Source organism: Homo sapiens, chromosome 6, assembly GCF_000001405.40.
Source record: "Homo sapiens chromosome 6, GRCh38.p14 Primary Assembly".
NCBI classification, from domain to species: Eukaryota; Metazoa; Chordata; class Mammalia; order Primates; family Hominidae; genus Homo; species Homo sapiens.
In genome coordinates this window covers 8,214,343-8,232,918 of record NC_000006.12, presented here as the reverse complement: position 1 = coordinate 8,232,918, position 18,576 = coordinate 8,214,343, and the positions used below count along the sequence as shown (strand labels likewise).

Sequence of the window (18,576 nt, the reverse complement as noted above, 5' to 3'; positions counted from 1 at the left end):
TTTGCAGCCCCTCTTGCCACAAGAAAATGACGTGACTTAGCAGTTTCCTTAATTTATTCAATAGTTTTCAGAGGTGCTACATACTAGGGCTATATAGGTGAAGACCAACTCCTCAAAGGGCCCATGCCAATGAGTGTAATGGTCATGTAAGCAAATCCCTCAAATAAAATGTTGTGGGTTCCTGAAAAGAAGCATGTCAAGGGTACAGTGTCTCCTTAGGGAGAAAGTATGCTATAGCCTATAGAACATGAGGCTAAGCGTGTTTCAAAAAATCACTGGCAGATTGGGCGCAGCGGCTCAGGCCTGTGATCCCAGCATTTTGGGAGGCCAAGGTGGGTGGGTTGCTTGAGCCCAGGAATTTGAGACAGACTGGGAAACATGGCAAAACCCCATCTTTACAAAAAATTAGCCAAACATCATGGCATGTACCTGTGGTCCCAGCTACTCAGGAGGCTGAGGTAGGAAAATCGCTTGAACCTGGGAGGTTGAGGCTGCAGTGAGCTGTGATTGCACCACTGCATTCAGCCTGGGCAACAGAGTGAGACCCTGTCTCAAAAAAAAAAAAAAAAAAATCACTGGCAGCTCTCTAAAGGATAGAGGGAATGATTCATGCCTAGATGCAAGAAAAGCAGTTAAGTAAGTGGTTTCTGAACTTCAGCATGCATAAAAATCACTTGCAAAGCTTGATTTTAAAATACACATTCCTGGGAGCCACCCCAGATTCAGAGCCTGAAAAAGAATCCAAGAATGTGCATTTCCATGAAGTGCCAGGTGACGCTGATGCTACTGTCCTTGAGTCACACTTAGTCCAAGCCGGAGTTGGAAGCGTGTTGAGACGGCACGGGCAAATGTGTTGAGGTGGCTTGCAATCTAGTGATGAGGGCCTGGAAGGCAGGTCTACTTGTTGGAAAATGGATCATTCACAATACATTCATTTGGAGAAACAATGAAGCACACTTTGCTAGGGGCAACACCAAGATTGGAGGCAAGAAGACTCTAGAAATGTTATTTCTAGAGAAATACTAGATATTACTAGAGAAATGTGGGCTTTACACTCGCAGAACTGAGTTCAAATTTCAGCATTGCCACTTACTGACTGGGTGATTTTAAGCAAGTTACTCAATCTCTCAGACAATTTCTTCATCTATGATATGAGCAAAACAATATCAAACTCCAGAGATTTTTAAATATTAAAGGAGATGACATACATATAAGAGAATCTGACACTGAAGCCAACATTCAGTGGGCCCATGAATGGTAGTAGTAAGTGCATGGCCTCTGCTCTCTCACCTCACAGAGCCTAAAAGTTAAGGCTATTTTTAAAAGTTAATTTTATACAAGGATGATTTGAAGAAATTCTATATTCATGGTTAAAATAATGTTCAATGGAAGAAGTTTGTTTTTTTTGTTTTTTTGTTTTTTTTTTTGTGAGACAGGGTCTTGCTCTGTCACCCAGACTGGAGCGCAATGGCGTGATCTCAGCTCACTGCAACCTCCACCTCCCAGGTTCAGGCAATTCTCCTGTCTCAAACTCCCAAGTAGCTGGGATTGCAGGCGCATGCCACCATGCCTGGCTAATTTTTGTATTTTTAGTAGAGGCGGGTTTCACCATGTTGGCCAGGTTGGGCTTGAACTCCTGACCTCAGGTGATCCACCTGCCTCGGCCTCCCAAAGTGTTGGGATTACAGGCTTGAGCCACCGCACCTGGCCAGGAATAACAGCTTGTTAACAGTCGCCACCTCCTAAGGATATTTGAAGTTTAAATGAAATAATACATCTAAAGACCCCAACATGTGATTTTTTTTTTTTTTTTTTTGAGACAAGGTCGTGCTCTGTCACTCAGGCAGGAGTGTGCAGTGCCGTGGTCAGCGCTCACTGCAACCTCAAACTCTTGGGCTCAAGTGATGCACCTGCCACAGCTTCCCAAGTAGCTAGTACTGTAGCCACACACCACCATGCCTGGCTATTTTTTTTAATAGAGTCAAGGATCTAACTATGTTGCCCAGGCTGGCCTTGAACCCATGGCCTCAAGCAATCCTCCTGCCTCAGCCTCCCAAAATGCTGGGATTCCGGGCGCAAACCACTGGGCCCAGCCTGTATTTATTATTTCATAGAAACTCAGCAAATGCTGATTTATTTCTCCCTTCCTCCTGTTAATTCTAATGGAGGAGATTTCTAGGAAAGTCTCATGAAGTAGATGTGGTTTGAGCAGAACTCCAATTCTCCTAAGCCAGGGCTTGCTTTAGTGGGTTTTCCCCAGTGTTTTGAAGGGATAATATTCTATCAGATTGCCAGACCACTGCAACAACACTCCCCAGTGCTCCTAGACCCTGTTATGTTCAGCAGCACACAGATTGCAAAGCATTGTTATTGTCCTGCTAATAGATGTACCCTACCACCGAATCGCTCCTGTCTCTGTGTGATGAAAGGCAAGGAGAAAACCTGCTGAAGTGTAACATTTAGGATCAGAAACTTGAAAGTGCTTTTTAAAATTCTATCAGAAAGATCATGAAAGCCACTTTGGTCAAACTCACTGTGCATGTAAAGGGCTTTTTGAACTTTTTACCTTTTGGTGATGCTTTTGATCCGCAACGCACATGATCTCATTAAAAACATATTATTTAGCTTAAACTTGGAACACTTACCATTTTTTCCAGTAGCCTGGGGCTTGGGGCAGAACAATGCAGTTCATGGCAACATGACATAAAGTATCTGCCAGGATATTGCTGCAAAGGTATGCCGGGGAGGAGTGGACCCTCTGCTCAGACACTTCAGAGAGCTTTGCAAGGTGAGGTCAGCACTCGCCTGCCAATGAAGTGAATCCTAATTACTCAGGAATGCTCAGCCTGGGCTGGCTGACACTCAAAGCAATCAATCTTAGTGGAAGAACCAGAGACACCTGGTTTTCAGATGAGAATTACTTTCCCAGGTCCAGGTAAATAAATGGTCTTGTTTTTCAACTCTCATATCATCTTTGGAGCAAAAGTACAACTTAAATCGCGAGACTACTGATTTGTGGCTTAGCTTTCCTTCGTGAACTGAAGGTGGTTGAGGTCTAACAAGGTAAAGAAAGCTATTGCGAATGTGAACACAATGTATAATGAATAATGACTCCTCTTATTTTAAATTACATTTGATAGCTTACCGTGCAAGATTATTCAAATACCCCTGTGTGGTGGGTGGAAAATAAATAGAAAACAAAACTGTCCAAGTCAAGCGGGTAACAATTCCAATTAAGAAACAATTTAAATCAAGGAAAAATAGATCACCAGGTAATGGTTTGTTTCCAGGGGTGATATATTTCCCAGTTAATGTCAATTTCTCTTTGTATATAAGTCAGCCCCTTCCTACTTCAAAAACGGGATTAACTGGGGGAAATACATAGTTCCTCTTATGTTGCAGCCCCAAATCAAACACCAACGAGGACCTGATAAAACAAAATGCCCAGAAGTTGGAGGTGCAGAGTAATTTGTGGGTCAGTAAAGTGAAAGACACTGACTTTTATCTTTCTTGCCTTTCATCCTGCTGACTTGTCACCTCATGTGGCTTCAGACGTCCTGACCCAGTTGGAGGAAGGAAATTGCAGGGAAGGGCAGTCTCAGCTCACTGCAGCCTCGACCTCATGGGCTCAAGCGATCCTCCCACCTCAGCCTCCTGAATAGCTGGGACTAGAGGTGTGTGCCACCATGCCCGGCTAATTTTTGTATCCTTTTGTAGAGATGGGGTGTCGCATGTTGCGCAGGCTGGTCTCAAACTACTGAGCTCAAGCAACCCACCCACCTCGACCTCCAAAAGTGCTGGGATTTCAGGGGTGAGCAACCATGGCTGGCCAGCTTTTTCAACAGGTTATTTTCTTTCATTTCTCTTCAGTTCTTGACATTCCCATTTCCACTATCCCAACTGCCGACTGGCTCCTCTAGAACCATTTTTAAGGAATACCTATCTGGTCTCTTTTTTAAAAAAAAACAAAAATAGAAGCAAAAAACAGGGTCTGGCTTTGTCCCCCAGTGTCACCTAGGCTGGGGTGCAGGGGCGTGACCTCGGCTTACTGCAGCCTTGACCTCCCAGGCTCAAGCTATTCACCCACCTTGGCCTCCCAAAGTGCTTACAGATATGAGCCACCACCCCTAGCCTGGTCTCATTTTTAAGAACCATTGGTGATATTACCAACTCCTGATTTTTCACAAATTTTTCACAAACAGATGGACAAAATTATTTCTGTGTCTAAGAAGTAATGTGAAGAAGAGATACAAAAGTCAGCCAGGCGTGGTGCCTCACGCCTGTAATCCCAGCACTTTGAGAGGCCAAGGCAGGCAGATCACCTGAGATCAGGAGTTTGAAACCAGCCTGGCCAACATGGTGAAACCCTGTCTCTACTAAAAATAGAAAAATTAGCCGAGCATGGTGGCATCTGCCTGTAATCCCAGCTACCCAGGAGGCTGAGGCAAGAGAATTGCTGGAACCCGGGAGGCAGAGGCTGCAGTGAGCCGAGATTGCGCCACTGCACTCCAGCCTGAGCGACAGAGCGAGACTCAATATCAAAAAAAAAAAGGAAAGAAAAGACACACAAGTCCTCAGCTAACTCCAGCACACTTTCTTTAACATAGTAAATTACTTTAAAATAAATTTACTAAAATATATCCAGTTAGCTAGTGGAATTTCGTTGGGGTTTGAGGTTTTTCCTGAGTTGTTTAAATTGACTCAGTCATGAATGACTTTGTAAATTAAAAATTAAATGGACTTTCAAAAAATAAAATACATTTACTCAAAATAAAATTACTTAAAAAGAAATTCAGGAGTCTTTACTATTAAGTCTCACGTAGCTTGGACTAATAGTCTCCAAGTTCAGTGCCTCACCCAGTAGCACCATCACTCAGAGCAACAGAAGTCTCTTAAAAAACTTCACAGTAGGCCGGGCGCGGTGGCTCACGCCTGTAATCCCAGCACTTTGGGAGGCCGAGGCGGGTGGATCATGAGGTCAGGAGATCGAGACCATCCTGGCTAACAAGGCGAAACCCCGTCTCTACTAAAAATACAAAAAATTAGCCGGGCGCGGTGGCGGGCGCCTGTAGTCCCAGCTACTCGGGAGGCTGAGGCAGGAGAATGGCGTGAACCCGGGAGGCGGAGCTTGCAGTGAGCCGAGATTGCGCCACTGCAGTCCGCAGTCCGGCCTGGGCGACAGAGCGAGACTCCGTCTCAAAAAAAAAAAAAAAAAAAACTTCACAGTAAATTAAGTACAATTAGCAGAGCAAACATCAACACTACCAGCCCAGGAAAGAAGTAATCGCTCAGCCTTCATTCTCAGCGCCCATTAAGACTTGAACCATTTCTCAAATCAGTGATCTTTTTAAGTGATCATCATCATGAACGCCCTCCTGAATTAGGGCCTCCTCATTATGGGGCACATAATGATATTAAACTTCAGCCTTTGTTAAGAAGTGGAGGTAATAAAGCTTTCCAAGAAGCGACAGCTTATAATTTTGATCCAAACTATAAAAATAGCTAAGTGCTTCCTAATGCTTTCATAAGCTAGGCTTTTTAAAATGTTCCTTTAAGAAGCATTTCCTTGAATGACAGACATAAACGGCTGGAAGAGACCTTTGAAAGCAGATAGTTCTGCTCCCTCATTTAACAAATGAGAACACTGAGGCCCAGACATGTCAGGTGATTTGCACAATGTCCTACAGCCAGTTAGTTGCAGAATCAGCTTAACATGTAGCAAATACAGTCATCCCTCGGTATGGTTCAACAACACAGGGGGTATTGGTTCCAGGATCTCCCAAACTCCCAAGGATACCAAATTCCAAGGATGCTCAAGTCCCTTATATAAAGTGACATATTATTTGCATATTTGCACACCCTCCTGCGTACAGTTACGCACCGCATAATGATGTTTTGGTCAACAGCAGACTGCATCAACAGCAGTGGCCCTAGAAGATTATAATGGAGCTGAAACATTCCTATTGCCCAGTGATGTCTTAGCCATCCTAACCTGGGCCTGACCTGGTGGTCCAGCACGTGCCTTACATGTTTGTGGTGATGCTGGAGTACACGAACCCACTGTGCTGCCAGTCAGCACATGAAAAGTAGAGCACATGAACAAGGTGAAACCCCGTCTCTACTAAAAATACGAAAAATTGGCTGGGCGTGGTGGTGGCCGCCTGTAGTCCCAGCTACTCGGGAGGCTGAGGCAGGAGAATGGCGTGAACCCGGGAGGCAGAGCTTGCAGTGAGCTGAGACGGCGCCACTGCACTCCAGCCTGGGCGACAGAGCAAGACTCCGTCTCAAAAAAAAAAAGAAAAGAAAAGAAAAGAAAAGTAGAGCACATGCAATTATGTATAATCCATAATGCTTGACGACAATAATAAACGACTGTGTTACTGGTTTATGTATTTACTATACTTTGTATCATCATCTTGGAGTGCATTGCTTCTACTTATAAAAAAAGAAAAAAGTTGGCCGGGCACGGTGGCTCATGTGTATAATCCCAGCACTTTGGGAGGCTGAGGCGGGCAGATTACCTGAGGTCAGGAGTTCAAGACCAACATGGTGGAACCTCGTCTCTATTAAAAAAACAAAAATGAGCCAGGCGTGATGGCGCACACCTGTAATCCCAGCTACTCAGGAAGTTGAGGCACGAGAATCACTTGAACCCAGAAGGTGGACGTTGCAGTGAACCAAGATGGCGTCACTGCACTCCACTCTGGGTGACAGAGCAAGATTTCATCTCAAAAAAAAAAAAAAAAAAAGGAAAAAAGTTAACAGTAGACAGTAGACCGGTCTCAGGCAGATCCTTCAGAGGGATTCCAGAAGAAGGCATTTTTACCATAGGAGATGACAGCCCCATGTGTGCCGTTATGCCTGAAGACCGGCCAGTGGGACAAGATGTGGACATGGAGGCCAATGATATTGATGATCCTGACCCTGTGTAGGCCTAGGCTAATGTGACTGTTTGGGTCTTAGTTTTTAACAACATTTTAAAAAGGAAAAAAATTAAAATTTTAAAAATAGAAAAAAGCTTATAGAATACGAATATAAAGAAAGAAGGTTGGGCACGGTGGCTCACACCTGTAATCCCAGCACTTTGGGAGGCTGAGGCCGGTGGATCACCTGAGGTCAGGAGTTCAAGACCAGCCTGACCAACATGGTGAAACCCCATCTGTATTAAAAACACAAAAAATTAGCCAGGCATGGTGGTGGGTGCCTGTAATCCCAGATACTCGGGAAGCTGAGGCAGGAGAATTGCTTGAACCCAGGAGGTAGAGGTTGCAGTGAGCCAAGATCATGCCATTGCACTACAGCCTCGACAATAAGAGCAAAACTCCATCTCAAAAAAAAGAAGAAACAAAAAGATTCCTGTATAGCTGTATAATGAGTTTGTGTTTTAAGCTAAGTTTTATTACATAAGAGTCAAAATTTTTTTAAATTAAAGTTTATGAAGTTAAAAAGCTACCATAGGCTGTTTATTATCGGAGAAAGAAAAAACAATTTTAATAAATGTAGTATAGCCTAAGTGTACAGTGTTTACAAAGTTGACAGTAGGGTACAGTAACTTCCTGAGCCATCACTTTCACTGCCAAATCACTCACTGACTCACCCAGAGCAGCCTCCAGTCCTGTGAGCACCATTCATTCAACAATGGTACACCTGTACACCACTGTACACCACTACAGGCCAGGTACGGTGGCTCACGCCTGTAATCCCAGCAATGGGAGGCTGAGGTGGGTGGATCACAAGGTCAGGAGATCGAGACCATCTTGGCTAACATGGTGAAACACCGTCTCTACTAAAAATTTTTTAAAAAAATTAGCCGGGTGTGGTGACATGCGCCTGTAGTCCCAGCTACTCGGGAGTCTGAGACAGGAGAATCACTAAAACCTGAAAGGCAGAGGTTGCAGTGAGCCGAGATTGTGCCACTGCATTCCAGCCTGGGCAACAGAGCAAGACTCCATCACAAACACACACACACACACACACACACACACACACACACACTTACCATTGTGTCACAATTGCCTACAGTATTCAGTACAGTACCAGCCTGTGCAGTTTTGTGACCTGGGAGCAAAGGTTTCTACCACACAGCCTAGGTGTGCGGCAGGCTCCACCATCTGGGTCTGTGCAACTGCACTCCACGGTGTTCATTCGCACAAGGATGAAATTGCCCAGTGATTCATCATTTCTCAAAATGTATCTCATCATTAATCAACACATACTGTACTTCAAAGCTATGTAAATTGTTGCTATACTATATTGATTTTTTAATTTTTTTATTATGTTTTTGTCATATATTGTCAATCCGAGGTTGATTGAATCCAAAAATTTGGAACCCGAGTGTATTAGTCAGGGTTCCCTAGAAGGACAGAACTAATAAGATATAGATAGATACATATAGACACAGACATAGATATGGGAGTTAATTAAATATTAACTTACAGGATCACAAGGTCCCACAATAGGCTGTCTGCAAGCTGAGGATCAAGGAGAGCCAGTTCAAGTCTCAAAATTGGAGAATTTGGAATCCAATGTTTGAGGGCAGGAAGCATCCAGCATGGGAAGAGCCAGGCCAAGTCTCAAAACTGGAGAATTTGGAATCCAATGTTTGAAGGCAGGAAGCATCCAGCATGGGAGAAAGATGTAGACTTGGAGGCTAGGGAAGCATCCAGCATGGGAGAAAGATGTAGGCTTGGAGGCTAGGCCAGTCTCACCTTTTCACGTTTTTCTGCCTGCTTTATATTCACTGGCAGCTGATTAGAGTGTGCTCATCCAGATTAAGGGTGGGTCTGCCTTCCCCGGCCAACTGACTCAAATGTTAATCTCCTTTGGCAACACACTCACAGACACACCCAGGATCAATACTTTGCATCCTTCAGTCCAATCAAGTTGACACTCAGTATTACCACCACACCGAGGATACACATGGCCAACTATATAGTTAGAAATAAACATCACTGAGACAGAAGTCTAAAAGCATTTCCACTTTTCTGTTTTTGCTGACTCTAGTAGGCACCAAGAAGAATCCACTGAGTCCAGGTAATTGACTCATTTCCTCATTGCCATAACTATGACAAAGGCACTCCAGATAGGATTATCAGACTTAGCAAATAAAAACACAGACTATCCAGCTAAATTTGAATTTCAAATAAACAATGAATAACTTTTTAGTACTAGTATGTTCCATGCAATACTCGGGACATACTGACACTAAAAGGAATGTTTGATTTTTATCTGAAATTCAAGTTCAACTGAGCATCCTGTACATGATCTGACAATCCTAACTCAAGCCCTTATGAAGATGATAACAAGAAATATTGAGAACTGCTGAACTATGACATTATATCAGTTTTCTAGGGCTCCCATACAAAGTACCACAAATAGGGATGGTTAAAGGACAGAAATGTATCATCTTACAGTTCTGGAGGCTGGAAGTCTGAGGAAGTCCTATTCCTTCTGAGAGAGCATTTGTTCCATGCCTCTGCCAAGCTTCTGGTGACTGCTAGCAATCATTGGCACTCCTTGGCTTGTGGACCCATCACCCCAATCTCTACCTTCTTATTCATGGGCATTTTCTCTGTGGGCAGGTTTCTGTGTCCAAATTTCTCCTTTTTATAAGGACACCAGTCGTACTGGGTTAGGGCTCACCCAATGACCTCATTTTAACTAATTACATATTTAACGATCCTATCTGCACACAAAATTCCATTTTGAATTACTGGGAGTTAAGACTTCAATGTACGAATTGTGGGGGAAGACAGGATTCAACCCACAACAAATTACTTTATTATTATTATTATTATTATTATTATTATTATTATTATTATTATTGAGATGGAGTTTCCCTCTGTCACCCAGGCTGGAGTGCAATGGCAGGATCTCGGCTCACTGCAACCTCCACCTCCCAGGTTCAAGCAATTCTCCTCCCTCAGCCTCCCAAGTAGCTGGGATTACAGGTGCCCACCACCATACCTGGCTAATTTTTGTATTTTTAGTAGAGACGAGATTTCACCACGTTGGTCAGGCTGGTCTCAAACTCCTGACCTCAAGTGATCTAGCCGCCTCAGCCTCTCAAAGTGCTGGGATTACAGTCGTGACCACCGGGCCTGGCCAATACATCACTTTTAATGGCAAAAACTGCAATTACTTTTGCACCAACGTAAATGGCAATGGGAACTAGATATGGCTTATAACATACTCTTGAGTACAGTAGTCCAGTCCTGGGATTCTGACAACCATCACTGTTTCCCCCTCGCTCAGGCTCACGTAATAACTCTGAATCTGTTTCGATGAAAAATATTTCAAAACGAAGCTGGTTTGACGTCTTTGGTCTTTTGCTGTTTTCCAGAATCGTTCTTGGACACTGCTCTCACTGAGCTTACCGTCAGGACTTGATTTCCATGGAGAAGTTTGATTCCCTCCAATACGCTGGCTGCCAGCCCTCCTCACTAAGAAAGGTGACTCTGGGACGGCAGCCTCCTTCCTTCTGAGCCCTCGTCCTATACCTGTGTCCATTTGAGTGGTCTTGTTCTCTCTGACCCCATCAGCTCGGTTAGGCGCATTGGCAATGTGAGGAGCATGCGAAAGCCCCTCTGTTAAAAAGACTCACTTCCTACTTAAAGTTTGAACTGAAAGTGGACCACAGAATCGGTTAGTTGTAATTACTCTTTAATTAGTTTATGCCCCAAATTATGAGGGCTCCATATAAAGCCAGATAGATCTAATGATTGCTCAATTATCTTACAGATAGTTGCAGAATTCGCTTAATATATAAGAAATCCAGCAAGAAATAAACCTCTTTGACATCAAAGTCTAAAAGCATTTCTACTCACAGAAGAGACTCTAAGTTAAATGCTCTTTCCTCTCCACCATGCAGCCTCCTGCTATTTTCTAAATAGTCTAAAAGATGCAGGACTGGCCAGGCACTGTGGCTTGCACCTGTAATACAAGCATTTTGGGAGGCTGAGGCAAGAGGATCACTTTAGGCCAGGAGTTCAAGACCAGCCTGAACAATATAGCAAGATTCCACCTTTACAATATTTTAATAAGCTGGGAGTGGTAGCACATGCCTGTAGCCCCAGCTACTCGGGAGACTGAGGCAGGAGGATCCTTGACCCCAAGAGTTTGAGGCTGCAGTGAGCTATGATTTGATTATAACCCAATGAAGCTGGTTTCTCTCATCAATAAGACTTTGGACAGTGATTTGCATATGCCTGATGGAGCTATAACATTTGCTTCAAAGTTTGCACCAAGAACTGTAGATGCCGCTCACTAGAATATTCAGACATCTGGCTTTGTATAAAAATGACTGGGGCTGGGCACAGTGGCTCAAGCCTGTAATCCCAGCACTTTGGGAGGTAGAGGTGGGAAGATCGCTTGAGTCCAGGAATTCGAGACCAGCCTAGGTGACATAGTGACATCCCATCTCTACAAAAAAATTAAAAGGCATGGTGGTGTGCACCTATAGTCACAGCTACCTGGGAGGCTGAGGCAGGAGGATCACTTGAGCCCAGGAGGTTGAGGCTGCAGTGAGCCATGATCATGCCACTGTACTCCAGCCTGGGTGACAGAGCGAGAACTTGTCTCAAAATAATAATAACAATAATGCCATCCCAACTACAGAATTGATGGGATTCTGTAGTTCAGAGGCTGTCTATTAAGATACCAGAAATTACTTCATCTATGTGAATGCTCAGTTCACTTTTCAAATAAACACTGATTTCTACAATTTGATGTTTAATCAGATGCTCAGCCTAATCAGTATGCACTTTACCTATTTGAAAGAGTACATTCAACAGTGACCACAAAATGTTACTCTCCACAGTTAACCCTGCCTTTCTCAAGTCTAGATAAGCTTTTGCATTCTAGACTATGGTATGTCTGTTACATGTGTATGGCAGATCCATCTTACAACTCTAGCCCAAAAATCTATTTTTGTACTATCCTTGAGCTTAGGATAGGGTTTCAAGATTCTCATTCTACCTCAGATTGTGCCTTATTTATCTAAAATCCTTGCTGAAGTTTCACTGGGTGAGGGGTATTGTAATTAATATCACTGAAGAAAAAAAACCAGAAATGGTAATTTACTATCACCAATCCAGATGTTAACTTTTGATCTTTTGTCCTAGTGCAAAGATTGCCTTTAAAATCAGAGCCAGAAGAATTTTAGACAGTGCTGCTAAATCAGCCCAATCAATGAGGTAGTGTTCTGAAGTTCACCTTGCAGAATTAAACTTGAAATCATACTTTTTTCTACTCCTGTCAAATCCTAATTTTCTTCTGTCTGAAACAGATATATTTTGAAGAAATTTTTTTTTTTTTTTTTTTTTTTTTTGCTCTAGCTTTGCATAGGCCTTTGGCTGAAAGCAGTCATGCTGTTATTTAACCTGGCCTGCTGGGATTCTTGAGGTTATGAAGGCTTTTAAAAAGGTTATAATCTTAGAAGTTATAGTATAAATTTGCATTCCATTCAAGTAGAAAATGAAAAAACAGACACTGTTAGAAAAAGAGTAAAATGCATTCATCTGATTTTTAAAAAATATAAATTGTGGATAAAGATTTTCTTTTGTGTAGGCATATAAAACAAAGTATGCATTTCTGGTTTGAAACTTTGGTGTTCTTTATTCAAGATCACTTCATCTTCACTCAAAGAGGCGATATCTTGTTAATGTATCTCCATTTCTAGCACACTGACATCAGTAACATGTCATATCAAGGGCATAATGTCATATTATATTGTAATAAGTCCTTCCTTCTCAATCTTTTGTCTCTGTGTGTAAGACAGGGCCTCTCTCTGTCGCCCAGGCTGGAGTGCAGTGGTGCGATCAAGGCTCACTGCAACCTCAACCTCCTGGGCTCAAGCAATCCTCCCACCTCAGCCTCCAGAGTAGCTGGGACCACAGCCATGCACCATCATGCTCAGCTAATTTTTGTATTTTTTGCAGACATGGGGTGTCACTATATTGCCCAGGCTGGTCTCAAACTCCAGGGCTCAAATGGTCTGCCCTCCTTAGCCTCCCAAAGTGCTGGGATTACAGGTGTGCACCACCATGCCCACCCTGGGATGGCATTATTTTTATTTCTAGTCCTTAGTTGTATCTGAATGTAATTAAATATCATAGGTATAACACAAATGGCAAATGTCTGTGGATAGACAAGCTGTGAGAAGCATATTAGAGGTGATTGTTTTAATTTTAACGTATTTCCAATCTCCAAACAGAATAATGGTACCTGATGAGTATTCTTTAGAATAAGAAAAATAAATATCTCCAAGGAGGAAAGAATTGGTAGCTGAGGAAATAATGGTTATGTTTTAAATTCGGTTAATACAGGGTTGGGGAAACTCTACTATGTCAATCCATGTTGAACCACCAGGTGGCACACTACTGCCTTCTTTCCACCATTCAACCACAGAAAAAGAAAATGCCGTTGGGAGATGTTGGGTTTAGTTTATTGGTTGCTTTTTACACAGAAAATTCACCAAAACCAACTTAGCCACATGAAGATATGAAGCTACAAGTGGTTCTTTCTCAGCTTTAATATTTTTATTACTATCAGTAGAATTTATATTGCTTTGCTTTTTCTTTAAGCTTTGAGCCATCAAGACGTAAACACACCAACAGAAATGCTAATAAAAACAAGCTCATTGATTACTCTTTACATGAAAGCAGAAACAACTGGGGAAATAATTTTACTTTTCAGAATACTTAAGGATTACCGGCATTTAATACTCTACACGAGCATTTCATATTTGCAAAGTGTATTGTTATATATTTATAAGTAATTACTCACAATAATGAATGTGGTGGCATTTTTTAAAACCCATATGCAATCTAGGTCAAATTCTGAACATTGCACAGATTTCTCTAGCTTTTTGCAACATTTATTCAATGACTTCATTGGCAAACTAACCAGAATCAACCCAATTTTTAAAATACTTTTAACGGAATTCTATGTTTATACTGATTTAGATTCAGCAATTGTCATAATGCCTTACAAATAGTCTTTCCGCCTAAAAGTAAATACGTCTTTAACTCCAGTTTACTGAAAAAAGTACCCTTTTTGCTTACTGAAGTATATCAAACACATTTTGGATTTACCTCAGTTGACTAAGTCCTGGCAATCGGTAAATTAACTAGCACTTTAAACAGAACTTTTAATGTCCATTGATGAAATGGGCTGCACAAATGAGAAATTAGCTTCTTTCAGTTCTAAAATCACAAGGCAGAATGAGGTGAATTCTAGTCCCAGTTTTGCCACCAGCTAGCTGTGTTGCCTCAGGCACATTATTTAAACTCTTTATACCTTCTTTCTCTCAAGTGAAAAATTAAATAAAGTGGAATCTTTCTAAGGTTCTATTTTACTTTTAAAACTGTATGATTTTATTTTTATATTTGAATCTTATATTGTGAAGCATAGTAAAGTATTTCAAAGTAATTCATCAAAGTAGGAAAAGCTAGGAAAAATTCCTAAAGCAATGACCCCCTCGAGTGATGGCAGCAGTGTGCAGACAGCTTGGAGTCTTCTGCATCTCCTCTGATGAGTAAAACCAAGAGCTCTCACCACACAAAGGAAGAGCTCTACACACACCTTTTGCTTTACAATTTCTTCACTTACTCTGGCTAATTGATATCTAGCCACCTCAGAATGAATTCATTAAGCTCTTTCTCTAGCTGTCTTGCACAGAATTTTCAGTAGTATAGATCTGTTTAACAGATTCCAACTGCTGGAACCCACAATGCAAGCTTCCAGAATGATTGATAGCCATAACTTGAGAAATGTATGTTGTGTTCGGTGAAACTCCGTCTCTACTAAAAATACAAAAAATTAGTCGGATGTGGTGGCGGGCGCCTATAGTCCCAGCTACTCGGGAGGCTGAGGCAGGAGAATGGCATGAACCTGGGAGGCGGAGCTTGCAGTGAGCGGAGATCCTGCCACTGCACTCCAGCCCAGGCAACAACGAGACTCTGTCTCAAAAAAAAAGAGAAATGTATGTTGTGTTCATGTAAGATGGTCCTATAGGCACTACATCCCTTTTCTCATAATGCGAATGAAAACGAGTTATTTTCTTATGTTCGAGTTGCATTATATCTCATATATTGAGTTTACAAAAGCAAAAATTCCTGAATCCCTCAAAATTGAGAATGACTATACTTACACTAGCCAGATACAAAATCTCTACTAAGTAAACAGACCCACATGTTTTATTTGCAGACTTATGTTTTTATATCTTCTGTTGGGGAATATGTTTCTTCTTTAAACAAACAAGGGCTTCTTTCCCCATTGATTGTGTACTTCTGATGATGTTTTAAAAAAGACTTTCACAAGGGAGGGATGGGTCCTTAATCAAGACTTTAAAATGAGGGCAATAAATATATTTTATTGGTTATAATACCTTTTTCTTTATTAGAAGGATAACAGACTGCTGGTTAACTGGTCATGAAATATTAATTAAAAAGAAAAAATATATGATAGAAGTATCTCAGTGAGTGCTAACTCATGCTTTTTTTTTTATTATTATACTTTAAGTTTTAGGGTACATGTGCACATTGTGCAGGTTAGTTACATATGTATACATGTGCCATGCTGGTGCGCTGCACCCACTAACTCGTCATCTAGCATTAGGTATATCTCCCAATGCTATCCCTCCCCCCTCCCCCCACCCCACCACAGTCCCCAGAGTGTGATATTCCCCTTCCTGTGTCCATGTGATCTCATTGTTCAATTCCCACCTATGAGTGAGAATATGCGGTGTTTGGTTTTTTGTTCTTGCGATAGTTTACTGAGAATGATGATTTCCAATTTCATCCATGTCCCTACAAAGGACATGAACTCATCATTTTTTATGGCTGCATAGTATTCCATGGTGTATATGTGCCACATTTTCTTAATCCAGTCTATCGTTGTTGGACATTTGGGTTGGTTCCAAGTCTTTGCTATTGTGAATAATGCCGCAATAAACATACGTGTGCATGTGTCTTTATAGCAGCATGATTTATAGTCATTTGGGTATATACCCAGTAATGGGATGGCTGGGTCAAATGGTATTTCTAGTTCTAGATCCCTGAGGAATCGCCACACTGACTTCCACAATGGTTGAACTAGTTTACAGTCCCACCAACAGTGTAAAAGTGTTCCTATTTCTCCACATCCTCTCCAGCACCTGTTGTTTCCTGACTTTTTAATGATTGCCATTCTAACTGGTGTGAGATGATATCTCATAGTGGTTTTGATTTGCATTTCTCTGATGGCCAGTTTACTGGGATTTTTTTTCTGCATAAAGTTAAAGGTATGTGGACCCAGTCATGTCACCCACAGGGAAACACCAGCTGGTCTCGTAGCTCGCATACTAGAGGCTCATCTGGTGACAGCAAGCCATGGAGTCTTCTCTGCACCAACATTTGGGGCTCACATTGCATTTGGACATAAGCAGTCAGAAAGCATGCCCAGGACAAAGTGTTCCTGACAGATCTGCCTCTGCCTCCAGGACCAGATAGACCTACCCAAAGCAGTGTGCGTGAACACAGCAACTCTGCATGGAACATTCTGTTTTCACCAAGCAACGCAAGACAACAAGAACTCTTTCTGCCCCAGGCACCCATCTTGGCTAACTAGAGCCTTCCATAACTTCCAATGAAATACCCACATTTCTCCCAGATTCTGTTTTTACCCATGCACTTCAACTGCTCCCCTCAACTGGCTAGAAGACGATTTACATCTTAAATTTAAGAGAAAAGGCAGATGTTTTAGGATGGCAGGGGAAAATAATCCTCAAATACTGCCTGTAATATTAAAAATGGAGTTAAGCGAAGTTTCCATGGGCAACTCTGATATACTGATCTCATTTCGCTGGAAGGGACCCTGACAGATAGAGACAGGAAAGTAACCTCACACTCAACTGTGGGGAACAGCAGAGGTGTATGTTCTGTGGCCACCCTCCGAGGAGAAAGGACTGACTTCAGTCCTCTGCAGCAATCGGCATGGCAACCAGAAATCCCCAACGACCCACTTGCAAACTTTAACATGTAGTGAATCACCTAAGGCAGCTTCTGATTCCACAGGTCTGGAGCGGAGTGGATGATTCTCAGCCCACACTGGGAACAAGGAGGCCCTCTCCTTCTCTCCCTGAAGCTCTGACTCAGGCTGGCCTTTGTCCAGTAAAGTGAAAGAGAAGCAGAAACTTCACTGAAGCCTACAGGATTTTTTTTTTAATGCAAACATTAAGGGCACAGTGGCTCACGCTTTTAATCCCAGCATTTTGGGAAACCAAGACGGGAGGATTACCTGAGGCCAGGAGTTCGAGACCAGCCTGAATAACATAGCAAGACCTAATCTCTACAAAAAAGAAAGAGAGAGAGAGCGGATCACCTGAGCCCAGGGGGTCCAGGCTGCAGGGAGCTATGATCACACCACTGCACTCCAGCCTAGGCAACAAAGCAAGACCCTGTCTGTAATAAAATAAAATAATAAAAAATAAATGTAAACAAATGATTTACTGTGGATACATGATTCTTGGTGACTTCTAAAATTTCAGTCAGTACAATATCATCTACACAATAAGTAAAAATAAAAAATCTTCAACAAAAATTTAAACAACTTTTGAAATAATTGATAATCCCAAGGTACTATTTCCCTTTCAGGAATTTTCTTTACTTCCAAACATGAGCAGGATTGGGTGTTTTATTTTCCCCCTGATTAACAATTTATTTTCTTTTAAAAATTATCGTAACAGTAAAATTCTCTTTGTTCTCTTTGGGTACACAGGTCTATGAATTTTAATACACAGATAGATTTGTGTAACCACCACCAAAATTGGGATATAAAACAGTTCCATTACCTGTCCCCCCAAAATTGGTGGAATTTGGGTTCCCAAATTTTTACAGCTTTCTCTCTTTTCCTAATTCCTCTTTGCTTCCACATTTGCAGACAACATTTTTAAAAAATAAAATTAAGTATTGTTTTGCAAAATCATCCAGAAAATTCATATTCTCCTCGAAGTCACAGAAGACAAAAGAGGGCTGAGACTCGAAGGCTCAGAACTACTGTGGCAAAATCTTGAGGTTAACTGAATCTGAGTGAGAAGTATACACAGCCTCCTGGTTTGAGCTCCCAGATGGAGAACAAGTTTGCTCAGGTTCAAGAGTGTTGTACTTGGACCTTCCTGAGGATGGGAAATTCTCTACAGTGGTCTCTTTATTGTATTGCCAGAGTCAAACCCAGAAGAAAGTCCAGGCTGTCTCAGAGCCAGTAGTGACCTCTAAACTCTCAGCCTCAAAGTTGGAAGGCAAAGCACCCCGCTGCCTGGGGATTGCATCAGAGCCCCAAAATGGGTCACCGGCAGAAAGCAGAAACAAGTCAGGTAATTTCTTCTGTTTCAGCTTCCAGGGCAATGGAAACTATGGAATCTATACACCCAAAAAGTTTCAAATCACAGAAAAGCTCTCAGATTCTTCAATTATTCATATTAACAACTATGGGTAAAAGAATAAGCCTTCAGGAGATGACAGAATTGCCTTCATTTGGGGGCTATTTCCAGCCCCTGTATACTTTTAACTCCATTCATGCTGAAGAGCTGAAGGTCTT

General features: G+C 42.0%; 1 long non-coding RNA gene across 4 annotated transcripts in view, besides 1 other annotated feature; it reads right to left on the bottom strand.

The window, feature by feature from the left end:
- The window catches only part of LOC105374910 (uncharacterized), a 102,802-nt gene that overhangs the window by 28,064 nt on the left and 56,162 nt on the right, over nucleotides 1-18,576 (bottom strand). The window contains exon 2 of one of the 4 annotated variants that reach the window (XR_926440.3): nucleotides 2,646-2,805. The exons of the other annotated variants lie outside the window; for them this stretch is intronic. This is a non-coding gene — a long non-coding RNA (uncharacterized LOC105374910). The remainder of the gene's footprint in view (nucleotides 1-2,645; nucleotides 2,806-18,576) is intronic. 4 annotated transcript variants of the gene reach the window in all.
- Nucleotides 2,564-3,085: an enhancer, noted in NCBI's record as "OCT4-NANOG hESC enhancer chr6:8230067-8230588 (GRCh37/hg19 assembly coordinates)". NCBI's record gives its function as "activates a minimal SCP1, AML or CMV promoter by ChIP-STARR-seq in naive H9 embryonic stem cells {active_cell/tissue: H9 hESC(naive)}" and the evidence as "EXISTENCE:reporter gene assay evidence [ECO:0000049][PMID:30033119]".